The sequence below is a fragment of the Homo sapiens genome, chromosome 1 (assembly GCF_000001405.40).
Source record: "Homo sapiens chromosome 1, GRCh38.p14 Primary Assembly".
Taxonomy (NCBI): domain Eukaryota; kingdom Metazoa; phylum Chordata; class Mammalia; order Primates; family Hominidae; genus Homo; species Homo sapiens.
This window is the reverse complement of record NC_000001.11, coordinates 245,951,854-245,965,997: the sequence shown is the minus strand read 5'-3', so window position 1 is coordinate 245,965,997 and position 14,144 is coordinate 245,951,854. Positions and strand designations below refer to the sequence as shown.

At 40.4% G+C, this 14,144-nt stretch overlaps 1 protein-coding gene across 19 annotated transcripts in view; it reads left to right on the top strand.

The window, feature by feature from the left end:
* The window catches only part of SMYD3 (SET and MYND domain containing 3), a 757,933-nt gene that overhangs the window by 541,282 nt on the left and 202,507 nt on the right, over positions 1-14,144 (top strand). Inside the window, exon 1 of one of the 19 annotated variants that reach the window (XM_011544257.2) lies at positions 12,514-12,767. The exons of the other annotated variants lie outside the window; for them this stretch is intronic. Coding sequence (XP_011542559.1) covers positions 12,747-12,767 — 21 coding nt within the window. The 5' untranslated portion in view covers positions 12,514-12,746. Of the gene's footprint in view, positions 1-12,513; positions 12,768-14,144 lie in introns of those variants that run through there. 19 annotated transcript variants of the gene reach the window in all.

Sequence of the window (14,144 nt, the reverse complement as noted above, 5' to 3'; positions counted from 1 at the left end):
ATAACCCTTGGCCATTCCCTGCCCCACCCCTATCTCCCATCATCATAAACATCCCAAACCAGATTGGTACATTTGCTAAAGTCGATGAACCTACATTGACACATTATCTCCCAGACTCCCGAGTTGACATTAGGGCTCACCCTTGGTGTTGTGCATCCTGTGAGTTTGCACAAATGTAGAATGGCATGTCTTCACTGTTAGAGCGTCATACAGACTTTTTTCACTGCCCCCAAAATCTTTCATGTTCCACCTGTTCATCTCTCCCTCCCCTCTCATCTCTGGCCACCATTGATCTTTTTACTATCTTCATACTTTCGCCTTTTCCATAATGTCATACAGTTGAAATCATACCGTATAAAGTGTTTCAGATTGGCTTCTTACACTTAGTAATATGCATTTAAGGTTCTACCATGTCCTTTGATGGCTTGATGACTAATCTCTGTTTAGTGATGAATAATCTGTTGTCTAGATGTACCACAGTTTACCTGTTCACCTACTGAAGGACATCTTGGTTGCTTCCAAGTTTTGGAAATTATGAATAAAGCTGGATTTTATATGATACTGTTTTCTCTCCTTTATTAGCATATTAATTATACTTCTTTTTACTTTTTAAAATGGTTGCCGTAGAGTTTGCAATATACACTTACTACTAATCCAAGTCCATTTTCGAATAACATGAAACTGCTTTATCAGTAGTGCAAATATCTTATAATAACAAAATATTCCCAATTCTTCCCTCCCATCTTTGGAATCATCACTGTCATTCATTTCACTTATACATAAGCATATATATGCATACGTAATTGAGTACATTGTTGCTATTATTTTGAAAAAGATATTGTGTGTTGATCAATTAAGAATAAGAAAACAAAAGTTTTTCTTTTACCTCCACTGAAGTATGTTCTTCTTCCCTCTGGGGTATTTTTTTAAATATTTTTTTTCTTTATCTTTGATTTTCTTAGTTGTAAATATGATATGCCCAGAGGTAGTTTTCCTGGCATCCTGCTTAGTGTTCTCTAAGCTTCATGGATCTGTGGTTTGGTGTTTGACATTAATTTGGGGAATTTCTCAGTCATTATTGTTTTGAATATTATTTCTTCTGTTCCTTTCCCTCTTTATTCTCTTTCTAATATTCCCATTATATGTATGTTACATCTTTCATAGTTGTCCTACAGTTCTTGGATATTCTTTTTTTTTTTTTACAATCTTTGTTCTCTTTGCTTTTTCATTTCAGAAGTTTCTGTTGTCGTATCCTCAAGCTGAGATTTTTCCTCAGTTGTGTTCAGTCTCCTAATAAGTTGGTCAAAAGGATTATTCAAGTCTGTTAAAATGATTTTGATCTCTAGCATTACTTTTGCTTTCTTAGAATTTTCATCTGCTTATACTTATCTGTTCTTTCATGTCCTTTTTTCATTAAAGCCTTTAGCTTATTCATCATTTTCAAAAATTTTCTTGTCGAATGATTCCAATATTTCTGCTGTATCTGACTATGATTCTGATGCTTGTTCAATCTTTTCACACTGTGTTTTTTGCCTTTTAGTATGTCTGGTAAGTTTTTGCTGAAAGACGGATGTCATGATGTACTGGGTAAAAAGAATTGTGAATGGGTCTTTAGTGATGTGGTGGTAAATCACTGGGGAGTGATACTGTTTGGATGTTTTGTCCCCTCCGAAGCTTATGTTGAAATATGACCCCCAGTGTTGGAGGTGGGGCCTGGTGGGAGGTTTTGGATCATGGGGGTGGACCCCTCATGCATGGCGTGGTGCCTTCCCCTTGGTGATGAGCAGGTTCTTGCTCTGTTAGTTCACACAAGAGCTGGTTGTTAAGAGTCTGGCTCTCCTTCCCTTTTCTTGCTCCCTCCATCACCATGTGACATGCTGGCCCCTCTTTGCCTTCTGCCATGATGGTGAACTTCCTGAGGCCCTCATCAGAAGCAGACGCCTACACTCTGCTTCATGTATGGCCTGCAGAGCCGTGAGCCAAATAAATCTCTTTTCTTTGAAAATTAGCCAGCATTGGTTACGTCTTTATAGCAAATGCAAAGTGGACTAACTCAGAATGGAATTGTTCTCCTGTAGTCCTGTGAGTGGGTCTCAGTCTTCTAGTGAGCCCATGACCCTGGACTGTGAGCTTCACTCAGTGCTTCTCAGTTTGTTTGTTTGTTTTCTTGTGGGACAGGATGACTAGAGTGGACTGGAGTTGGGTATTTTCCTTCCCCAGGTAGGTTAGGCTCTGCCAAAGCCCCAGCAAGTTAGGGTCTGGTTAGTTTCTCTGGAGGGCAAAACCTTGTTAAGAACATAATTCTCTGGTGTTTTTTTCTTTTTCTTTTTTCCTTTTCCTATGGTGCTGATCTCTGGTGTTTTTTCAAAATGGTCCTTTTCCTCCTTTTTCCACTGGAAGCATAAGGGAATTTTTCTCTGATACTCACTGCGAGGCCCTGCTAGAGCTCCTGGAAAAAAAAAAACTCACAAAAGCTTATCCCTCCCTACTCCCCATGATGGGCACCTCTGGAGTTTTAAACTCGAAGAGTTGTTCATTCTAGACCCCCAGCAGTATGTCGAGTACAATTGAGGTTTCTACCGGGTACTGATTTCCATGGAGGTTTCTGTTGTAGTAAGTTGCAATGCTCTGTATGCGCCCCTCTGTCTCTCTAGTCTTGGGGGCAGCAGCTTGCCCTGTGACCTTATTTCTTTGGCAGATCTAAGAATTTTTTTTTAACACTGTATATTGAGAAATTATAGTTGTGTATATTTATAAGATGCAAAGTGGTATTGTGAGTTTTTAATACAATGTGGAATAATTAAATTAAGCTAATATATCTAGCATCTCAAATGTGTAAGAAGAATGGTTGATTTTTTAGTTTGTTTAGCTTTTTACTTGTTGTTAGGATGGAATGGTGACTTCTAAGCTTCTTACATACCAGATCAGAAGCCAGAAGTCTCATCCTGTTTTTAAAAACAGGACTTTGAACATTTTTATTTTTCTTAGTGTGCTAAGAAAATAATGCCAGCGGCAGTAACTGCACGGCAATCCAGTGGTCTCTAGTCTTATAAGAGCTTATAAAGAAAGGCTTCGTGTCTTACCTGATAAACTCCCCTTGACTGTTTTACAGTTAAGTGAAACCCCAATTTCTGGCAAGATCTGAAACTTGGTTTTTCTTTTTTGTTGCCTGTTTAAAATATCAGAAGTAAGCCCGTGAAAGCTATTAACATGTATTCAGGCCGACTTTGGTTTCTCCTCTATGGATGTTTCTAGAAACATAGTGAAACAACACAGCAATGATTGGTTTTGCGGTTGTTGAGGTCAAACCTTGGCACAAGATTTTTGGTCTCTGTTTTCTCTTTATTGTTCGACGCAACCCACATGCAGGTTTGTTTCTCCATCTCTTCACCTCATCTGGCTGACATGTTGATAGGAGCTTAGCCAGGCTGTCTGGCCACGAAACCTAAAATCATATGGCTTGTTTAGTTGGTAAGGACATGGAGGAATAAAATAACCATGTGGACGGCACTGTGCAAGGTCTTCAATGACAGAGGCGTTGAACTTCAGGCAGAGTTTAGCGATCATCTCAACCGTGTCCTTGTTTCACAATTCTGGGATCAACATCCGCAAAACTACACTTCTGACAACATCAGGATCCTCTAATATTTCATGTATACTCATCTTGCAAGATAGGTTGTAAAATAAGATGAGGAACCTGAAACAATGAGCAGTTAAGCCACTTGCGTCAAGTCCCAAGGGTGGCAGGAAAAACAGAGCAAGGAGTGAGATTGATTACTTGCAGCCTTTGGATTTCACCATGAAGTTGGTGGTTTTTAAATGGTTTTTTCTCCCCTAACATCGACCTTTCTCCAGTCAAATGGTGGGAAACCTCACATGTAAAACAGATGAAATACAGCTGCTGGCTCACGTGGGAGGCTGTGTCATGTGGTATGATGTTTAGAAGGAGGGTCTTGGAAGCCAGGCTGCTCTGAGCCTCAGTTTGCCCATCTGCAAAGTGAGGATAACTACTATACGTGCCTCACAGGGTTACCGTGGAAATCAGCGAAATCAGTTCCCAGCTGTAATAACCGTGCAGTTTATTCAGTCAAAAAACTTTTATCCGGCAGCTTACTGTATTCTGGGCCCTGTTAAAAGGACGAGGTGATGGCTGTGAGGAAACAGGAATCCCGGCTTTCATGGAGCCTACATTCTCAGTCTCAAAATACATGTTAATTATAGTAACATGTGTCGAAGGGGCATCAGACCCCTCCTATTGATACCTCCTCTGTGTGTCTGGCTCTAAAGGTTCCTTAGAGCACTGTGTGAAAACCACTGTCCTAGGCTACACATCTTAACATCTAGGATGTTTTTAAGAGCTGGAGTGGGGAAAAAAAATGGAATTATATGACAGTGTTTAAATTTTCCATTACTGACATAAACTATTCCAGAAACAACAGGTAGAAGAGAAGGATGATTTAGGCCTCCAGTTTGGAGAGTAATTAGTGACTTGTCTGCTTTTCCTTCCTTAGTCATCTTGAGCACTTGCAGCTGTGCATCTTCCTTTGTGCCTGATGCAAGCTGATATTTTAGGGTGAAAGGGTGAGAAGGAAATTTAGATTCAAAGTGCTGACAAGATAAAGTACATTCTGTAAAGATTCATTCCCCTTAAAATTGGAGTTCTTACCGAGATATCTTCACTTAGCAGACTGATGTCAGGAAAGTAAAAAATGGAAGGGAACTTTGTGGTTGAAAATTATGTTCCTAGAAATGAGGGTTGACCCTGTTTCTATGAGAAGAGAGAGCATGTGCGGCTCTGCTGATGGGTACAGAGAAGTGCCTTTGTGGTAGCGCCCAAGGGAGAATGCAGAGTAGACCACCATCTCTACTCTGATTGTTTTCAATTCTTTCTCAGATGCCTACAAACATTTAAACCTTGTCTGACTCTGCCTTCCCTTGGTAGTTTTAAGGCATATGGAAGAATTTCAACAAACTGAATTGATTTGGGGGAGAAGGAGGTTAGATTTTTTTTTAAATGTTGCCATTTTAAGGAGCTAGATAATATACAAGAGACCTTTGGCCTTCGGCCTTCCTGTGGAATAGGTCCCGAGGGAGTTATGAACTTCCAAATGTGAAAATGCCTATGTAATTATTTTTCTCTCTGTGAAAAATGCAAAGTATATCTGAAAAAGTTAAGTAATTCCTCTAGATGTGTAACGATTCTATAAATTCAGGATTAAAGTAATTTATAAGGCTAATTTATGCCATTTATTTATTTATTTATTTATTTAGAGACAGAGTCTGGTTTCTGTCACCCAGGCTGGAGTGCAGTGGCATGGTCTCAGCTCACTGCAACCTCCACCTCCCAGGCTCAAGTGATCCTCCCACCTCAGCCTCCTCAGTAGCTGGGACTATAGGCACACACTACCACACCTGACTAATTTTTGTGTCTTTTTTTCGTAGAGATGGGGGTTTTCCCATGTTACCCAGGCTGGCCTCGGCCTTCTAAGTGCTGGGATTACAGGTGTGAGCCACTGTGCCCAGCCCTATGCCCATTCTTTAGTGCTGGTAATAGAAATGAACCAATCTATCAGTTGGTTTTCATGTCGGGGTCATTTTCAGGCAGAAAAATAGATTGTTGTCCCTTGACCTAAATTGTCTGCTTTCATAACAGAAAGCCAATGATAACAAAGCCATGTGAATCAGTCTTTTCCTGTGGAGTCAACCTTACAACAAGGAGGATTCAAACATCTTCAGTGAAGTAGCAAATGATTACATATCACAGATCTTTGCATCAAGCAAGGTCAAGTATGCACGTGTTAACTCAGTGAATTCTAAGTATCTGATTAAATTTTGTAAGTCAATGCCAATTTCCCTTTGGACTCAGAGTTTACCTGCATAATTTTGTTTTATTAATATTTTAAAATAAAAAGATATGTGGCCGAGCACATGTGGCTCACACCTGTAATCCCAGCACTTTGGGAGGCTGAGGCTGGTGGATCATTTGAGTCACGAGTTTGAGAGCAGCTTGGGCAACATGATGAAACCTTGTCTCTACAGAAAATGGAAAAAGTTAGCCGGGCATGGTGGCACACACCTGCAGTCTCAGCTACTCAGGAGGCTGAGGTAGGAAAATCACTTGAGCCTGGGAGGTCCAGGCCACAGTGAGCTGTGACGGCACTACCATACTACAGCCTGGGCAACAGAGCAAGACCCTGTCTCAAAAATGAAAAAAGAAAAGTGATGTTGTCCAGTGAACTAAAAAAACAGAGATTTTACTCATTTTGTTCTGTGAATGTTATGCTTTATTTAGAGAAATGAGCCATCAAACAGGGAAGACAGCACTGGTATAAGATGAGCTGGCAGAGACCTTCAGGTGGTCACAAGAGAACACAGTGAGCAATGGGAAAATAAGGCAATTCTCTTAGCACTGGAAGGCGTTTAACAGACCATCTAGTTGGTCAGCTCCCCCTAGCTTACCTTTCACCCTTTGTTTTATAAATAGGGAAACTGAGATGAAATCACCCAAGACTTTTGGGACTGTCTACCAAAAATCACACAACCAAGTCAGAGCCAGAACCCAGGTTTTCTAACTATGATAGTTGTGTTACTGTTGTGCCATCCTGTCTTCTGAGATGTTGGCCCATCTTCATCAGAAAACTTTGATCTGGAGCTGTCGGGAGCCGTAGAATAACAGAGCAAGCATGGATGTCTTGGCTTGCCTAACACTGCTCCTCACTTAGTGTAAAGAGCTCTTGGCCGGGCATGGTGGCTCATGCCTGTAATCCCAGCCCTTTGGGAGGCTGAGGCAGGTCAATCACTTAAGGCCAGGAGTTTGAGACCAACCTGGCCAGAGTTTGTTTGTTTGTTTTTTGTTTGTTTGTTTGTTTGTTTTTTGAGAAACTCCATCTCTCCTTAAAAAAACAAAAACAAAACCCAAAAAATTAGCTGGACATGGTGGCACACGCCTATAATCCCAACTACTTGGGAGGCTGAGACGTGAAAATCGCTTGAACCTGGGAGGCGGAGGTTGAAGTGAGCTGAGATCATGCCACCAAACTCCAGCCTGGGAGACGGAATGAAACTCTGTTTCAAAAAAACCAAACAACAACAAAAAAGAGTTCTTAATGCTCCTGAAAGTTATTATCTAGCCTCTGCTTAAATACTGGTTCATGAGATAGCCCACTCCCCCAGGGTGGTGATCCCAGATATACTACCCTTTGATTTCTGTCCCAGTTCTTCTATTTGGGGTCTGGAGCACCTATGATGTGTCAGTCACTGTACTATATGAAAGAGATACAAAGTAGGATAAAATGTAGCTTCTTCTTTCTAGGAATAACCCTAGTAGTAAAAGAAACAGACAAGTAAATCAGCAATGATGGTTCAGTGGGGTAAGTGGTATTGTTAGGGGTATGTACTTTGCTACGGAGGAGGAGAACCTAAATCAGACTGGAGAATGAGGAAAAGCTTCCTGAAGGAGGCAACCCTTGAGCTAAGTTTTGGAGTAGGAGATAGATGAAGCAAGAGAAAGGGCAGTCACACGAATGAAAGAGCCTGTGGAAAGTACATTCATCAGCACAGCACTTTAGAAAATGGTGTATGGTGTTCTGTAGGGCTGGAAAAAGGGAGATTTGTGGCCGGTGATGAGAGGAAGGGTGAGGAAAGGATGCAGAGGCCAGATTGTGAAGGGCCTTCATGGATAAGCAGTCTGCATCGTGTATGATTGTATTGTCAGAATGTTATTTTATAGCTCATTCCTCTTAAGATGCTTTCAGATTTAACTTGTCCTGCTTTGGAACATGAGGATCAGAAAAACCTGGATTCAATATCTGGCACCACTTAAGCCTCTTTGAGCCTTAGAAGCCTCGTTTGTGAAATGAGGGTGATAGTAGCTTCTCCCAACTTTCGTGGTAAAAAAAGAATCTAGACAGGCACCTCATAAAGTGCTGGGCTCATTGCAGATAGAAAACCCGCTTGTTTCTCCCCCCCGCTTTTTTTTTCTCAAAGTCTCTGAATAATTACATTCAGCGTCCCTACCTTGTCTGCTAGGAGTTCTAACATTAGATTAACATTTTCTTGCAAGAATTCTGTCATTTTTTAAACCTAACCACACAATTCTACATTTTGGAGTGAAGGTAAGCCCAAAGTAAAGGTTTCCCTTATTACTTTTTATGGCTTGATAGAGAAAATAATGAGGAAGGTAAGTTATGACTTTTCCACATATCCTGTTTTACCAGGCCAAGAGTTAGATGATGAGGATACTCAGAAGGCAAAGAAAGTAGACAAAAGGTCAGGGAAGCTATTTAATTTGGTTGACGTATATGGAGGAAACAGTACTGATATGACAGATACGTTTTGTTTGAAAAAGCATTTTGTGCCTACTCAAGTATAGACACAATATATCCTGAGCAGCGAGTGGGCATGAATCCAAGCGGGTGTAAGAAATACAGCAACGCTAGGGAAGATTCAGAAAAGAAAGAGTTGAGTTATTTTAGTGAAATGATAGCTCAAGTTAGAGAAGTGCATGCTGAGAGAAACGTTGACGTTAAAGAGTAAGGACTGGCCACATTTTAATTTCCTCTAAGGATCTTTTCTAAGAGAGGAGAAAGAAATGTTACAGTGGAAGTGAGTGTAGTAGGTGATGGGAAAGGGAAAGGGGGAAGATTGAATATTGAAAACAGGAATGAAGGAAAGGGTGACATGTCAGCTTTATTTTTACTTCTATTGTGTGTCAAAGCGATGGTCTTTCTTTTTTTAGCTAGTCAGGTCTAAACTGTAATAAAATGAAGTCAGAGTGAGATGAACCGAATAATACTCAATTTCATGGAAAATCTTATCTGTAGTTGGCAGTCGTCTCTTTACTTTTGGATTTAATTCCTTTTCATCATTTTCTGTATCAGTTCTTTTGAGAGTAGTTGGCTGGTGCTGCAGATGAATACATGCCTATTGGTGGTTTGGTATAATTTGTCTTACATTGCATCTTCACTGGCAGTGTTAGCCTGATGATTCGTTTCTAGTTTAGCAAAATGAGAATTAGTTTAATAAGATGTTGAGATGGTGATCAGTTTTCCAGGGGTTTGGTTCTGCTCAAGAGCTGGCATCCAATATGCCAAAAAGGCAATAAGCAGGGTGGATCAACTGCCTTAAGATGGGTATGCAATGTTCAAACCAAAGGATGGCATAGTGAGAGACAAATCATTGCTCCAACAGAATGGAAGAAGTTGCTGGAAGATGACTTCGCTGGCAGGCAAGGAAGGAAATCAAGAAGTCAGTTTTTACCACCATCACTAAACCCTTCCCAGAGTACCGAAGCAGGCTCATACCCAGGGGAGTAGGGGAGTAGTACAGGAGGAGGAGGAGAAGTAGAAGGAGGGAGACAAAGACAGGGAGAGGGAATTAGCTGAGGCTGGGGAGACAGAGAGTCACAAGAGAAGAAAGGAATTCTTGTGAACTACAGTGGTTTGTAGGACTCAAAAGTAAGCAGGTGGAATTAACCTCATAAAAAATAATGCTCTGCCTGCCTCGCTAGGGGTAGGCACCCAACACGTCACACGTCCTGTTTTGCTCCCTCACTTGTGTCAGCTCAGATTATTTCCTGCCTGTCCACTGCTAGCCTTTTGTGGCTGAATATCAGATCTTGACTGAGCATCTGAGCATGTGCTGGCCTCTATGGATGAGGAAGCCACAATGAATCAGACATAACTTTTCTTCTCAAATTCGTTTATCTTAAAAAGCATTTATTGTAGAGAGTATACTATGTGCCATATACATTAGTAGGTGCTAGTATAGAAAATACCAAGAGGCTGAATACTGTGGCTCACGCCTATAATCCCAACACTTTGGGAGGCCCAGGCAGGAGGATTGCTTGATCCCAGGAGTTTGAGACCAGCCTGGGCAACAAAATGAGACCCCATCTCTGAAAAATGAAAAAATAGAAAATAATGTTATCTATTTGTATAACCTAGTAATGAACATAGGGTCATTTGTAATTTTTTGCATTTACAAACAGTGTTCCTATGGAAATTCTCTTCATAAGCGCCTCCTAGAAGACACATCAAGAGGTCTGTCAGCTATAAACTATAGCAACATGCATCAACATAAATGAATCTTAGGATATAATGTTGAGCCAAAAAAAAAAAAAACCCAAAACAAATTGCAAAATCATCAATGCAGTATGATTCCATCTGTAAGTAGCCAAAAGTATGCAAAGCTAAACATACAATATGTTGCTTAGTGCCTCCTTATCCATGGGGGATACATTCCAGTACCCCAGAGGGTGCCTGACACCATGGATAGTACTGAACCTCATGTATACTGTTTTTTCTTATGTATACATACTTACAATAAAGTTTAATTTATAACTTAGGCACAGTAGATTAACAACAATAATACTAAAATAGAACAATTATAACAATATACTGTACTATCTATACTCAGGTATCAGGTAAATCTATTTGGATGTAGGAAAGTTTCTTGAAGGAGGTGACATTTAAGCCGGATCCTAAAGGATGAATAAAATTATGAGCGATCGCAGTAGTGAAAAAGATATTTTTAAAAGAGGAAACTATGAATAAAGATATAAAAGCTATGACCTGGCAATCATATGCCAAAAAAAAAGAAAAGACATAAAACCACATGGGCGGCCAGGCGCGGTGGCTCATGCCGGTAATCCCAGCACTCTGGGACGCCAAGGCAGGAGATCGAGACCATCCTGGCTAATGCGGTGAAACCCCGTCTCTACTAAAAAATACAAAAAAAAATTAGCCAGGTATGGCGGCGGGCACCTGTAGTCCCAGCTACTCAGGAGGCTGAGGCAGGAGAATGGCGTGAACCCGGGAGGCGGAACTTGCAGTGAGCTGAGATCGCGCCACTGCAGTCCAGCCTGGGCGACAGAGCGAGACTCAAACAAAAACAAAAACAAAACACCACATGGGCCCACAACCTGACTTGGGAATGACAGAGAAGCCAGGATAACTGAAATACGTGTTGGGTGCAGGGAAACACAGGATGGGAGTAGATTATAGGGGGCGTTTGATGTCACACGAGAGAATTTTGTCTTTATTCTGCAACTACTGGGTAGATCTCCTGTTTCTCTTTTGTAAAATCAAATCTGTTTTTAAAAAAGATTTATCTGATGACAATTTAAAGAATGGTTTGGAAAAAGACAGGGACCAGAGAGATTGACTTGGAAAGTTGCAAGTAAGAGATAATGAATACAGGAGACAAATACCTGCAGTGGAAACGGGAAGAAAGGGCTGAATGTGAGAGTGGCACAGAGATATGATTTGATTAGCACATGAATTTGGAATAAACTACCACTGTTTTAAAATTTAATTTGCGACAGTCTTGCTGTGTCACCAAGGCTGGACAGTGGCTGCAGTGGTGCTATATTGGCTCACTGCAACCCCTGCTTCCTGGGGGCTCAAGCGAGCCTTCCACCTCAGCTTCCTGAGTAGCTGTGACTGCTGGTGCCTGCCAGCATGCTCGGCTAATGTTTTAGCATTTTCTGTAGAGACAGGGTTTCACCATGTTGCCCAGGCTGGTCTCAAACATCTAGGCTCAAGTAATCTGCCCGCCTCAGTCTCCCAAAGTGCTAAGATTACAGGTGTGTGAGCCACCACACCTGGCCTACCACTTTCTTTATCGTCCCCTTTTCTTCCTGTTTTTCTTTGGCCTGTTCCTTACTGCCTCTGGCTCATCTTGATCTGCAATTTTATTGGTATAATTGCCATATTGACTCAGGAAACTAGCTACCAACTACATTTTAACTAGCATCTTTAAAACGCTTGTCTGAGAAAGAGTAACAATGTTTACTACAAGCATTTATACCAGGGCAAATGGTATAAGGACTAAGGAGAAATACACTTTTCCTAATTACAGTGTTGACCCCTTAGGACGCTGAGCATTTGTAATTTAATTACATCAGTGAGTTAATGTGGAAAAGTACCTGATACACTTCGTGTTAGTTTCATTTTGCTTCCAAGTATTACTTTCACTTTCTTCTTTAATTTTTTGAAGTAAAGAGGATTATCAGATTTAAACAAAGTTACACAAAATCCTTTTTAAAATTAAAATAATCATTGTTGAAAATCTTGCTGAAGTTCTGTTGTGTTTCTGTAGGTACAATGAGCTAAACACGTTTTAATCTTATTCAGCATTGAACATGCAGGCTTCATTTGTGAAAAGTCCTGTGTTTGTTTGAAGAACCAGGCACAAGAGTAATCACAGAACATACTTTTGAAAGTACATGTGGGGTTTTTGTTGTTGCTGCTGTTTATTTTTAAAAACTGAACCCTACTTGGCCAGGCACGGTGGCTCATGCCTGTGATCCCGGCACTTTGGGAGGACAAGGCTGGTGTATCATGAGGTCAGGAGTTCAAGATCAGCCTGGCCAAGATGGTGAAACCCTGTCTGTACTAAAAATACAAAAAATTAGCCAGACGTGGTGTCAGGCGCCTATAATCCCAGCTACTCAGGATGCTGAGGCAGAGAATTGCTTGAACCCAGGAGGCGGAGCTTGCAGTGAGCCGAGATCACACCACTGCACTCCAGCCTGGGTGACAGAGCGAGACTCTGTCTCAAAAACAAAACAAAACAAACTGAACCCTACTTTTAAGCCAGTTTACTTTATGTTTGCTTTTTCTCACTTTTTATTTTTTTCAGAGTTACATCCTAAAAAATGTTTTTAGTTAATTGAAAGATTTTGGTCTAGTTGGAGTTGATATATTAATGTGCAGTGAAGTTTCCCAATGTAGCAAATTTAAACTATGGAAGAAGAAGAAGAAAAGGTAATCTTGCTTTGTTTCTTTCTCCAGATATACTGATAATATATATTATGACCAAAGAGATCTAACTAGCTTCAATTCCTCTTTGGGGAAATAACACTTTACCCAAAGGTGTTTATTTTTATCACTTTCTGGAATGTTTTGGGGATTTCATGATCACATGCCGACCAAATTCCTTTTAGATTCTTAGAGCCTCCTGCTCAGCCTCTAATTGCCACCTACTCTGTCTGATAATTACCTTTCTGTTTGGAATCTAGTATTTTATGAAAACTAAAGATACTTGATCTTCACCTTGATATAGCATCTAGATACAGACTATCCCCTGCACAAGGAAACCTCAATGGGTAGAGGCTTTTGCAGAGACACAACCCTGTATGCACTTGAGGGTATGTGGGGAGTTCAGGCTCATCATTTTAGTATGCGTTTTCACAGCGTTCTGCTCGAGTGCGTAGCCAAGGCTGTATCTCCTTTTAGCTTAGTAAAAACCTGATCTGTCTCCATTACACTACAAAACATATTATGTTGACTTTCAGTGTTTTTGCACAGAATGTGAGACCTGCTAAGAGTAGGGTACATGCCATTAACAGGAGCATTTGGGGAGCTAGTATCACAATCTTCTCAAGTTAGGTGAGAACAGTGGTAACAGTGATGCCCATCAACCAGTACTCTCAGCCTTTACCCAGAGGCCTCTTCACTCATTTGCTTCTGAGGATCGGCTTTCTGATTGATTCTAGTTAGGTTGACAATGGACTGAACTATCATCAAGCAGCCATAAAAACGTCATTTTTTTTCCTATGCTTGTCAGTCTTTTTCTTTTTCTTTATTACAATCGGTAATTCTCATATTTCTTTTTCCTCCTGGTCTTTGTAACTTTTTTGTCATCAACTCATCTGTTCCCTTAATCCTTTTCTTTTCATGCCTTGTTTCCTGGTGTTTGATTTTGCTTCATTTCCCAAAGTGATCCTTACGTTTCAGCTTTTTAGTCGTTTATTGATAATGCTTTGGTTAATTTTTTCCCCTTCAAACAAGTTTTACAGTAATAATCTCCCTCCCACCCAGCTTTATCATGGTATAATTGATAGATACTCATCTTTATTTACAGGTATTTCTGTTTTATTTTCTTTGACACCAACATTTCTTTTCCTGTCATTGATAACATTTTTTTTCCAGAAACGGCAAATTCTAATCTAAATCATTTTGCTATTTATTGTCTTTGAATTCAAAGTTGGAAACCTCACATATGCAAATGCAGTTGTTTGCTGTAATCATCAAACCCTGATTCCTTTAGTGAATATATTCTGTTTTGCATTTAGATGTAGGGGGGAAATGAGAGCATTTGTGCAAAATAAAGCTAGAGGGAAAGAAAGGATCATGTGGAAT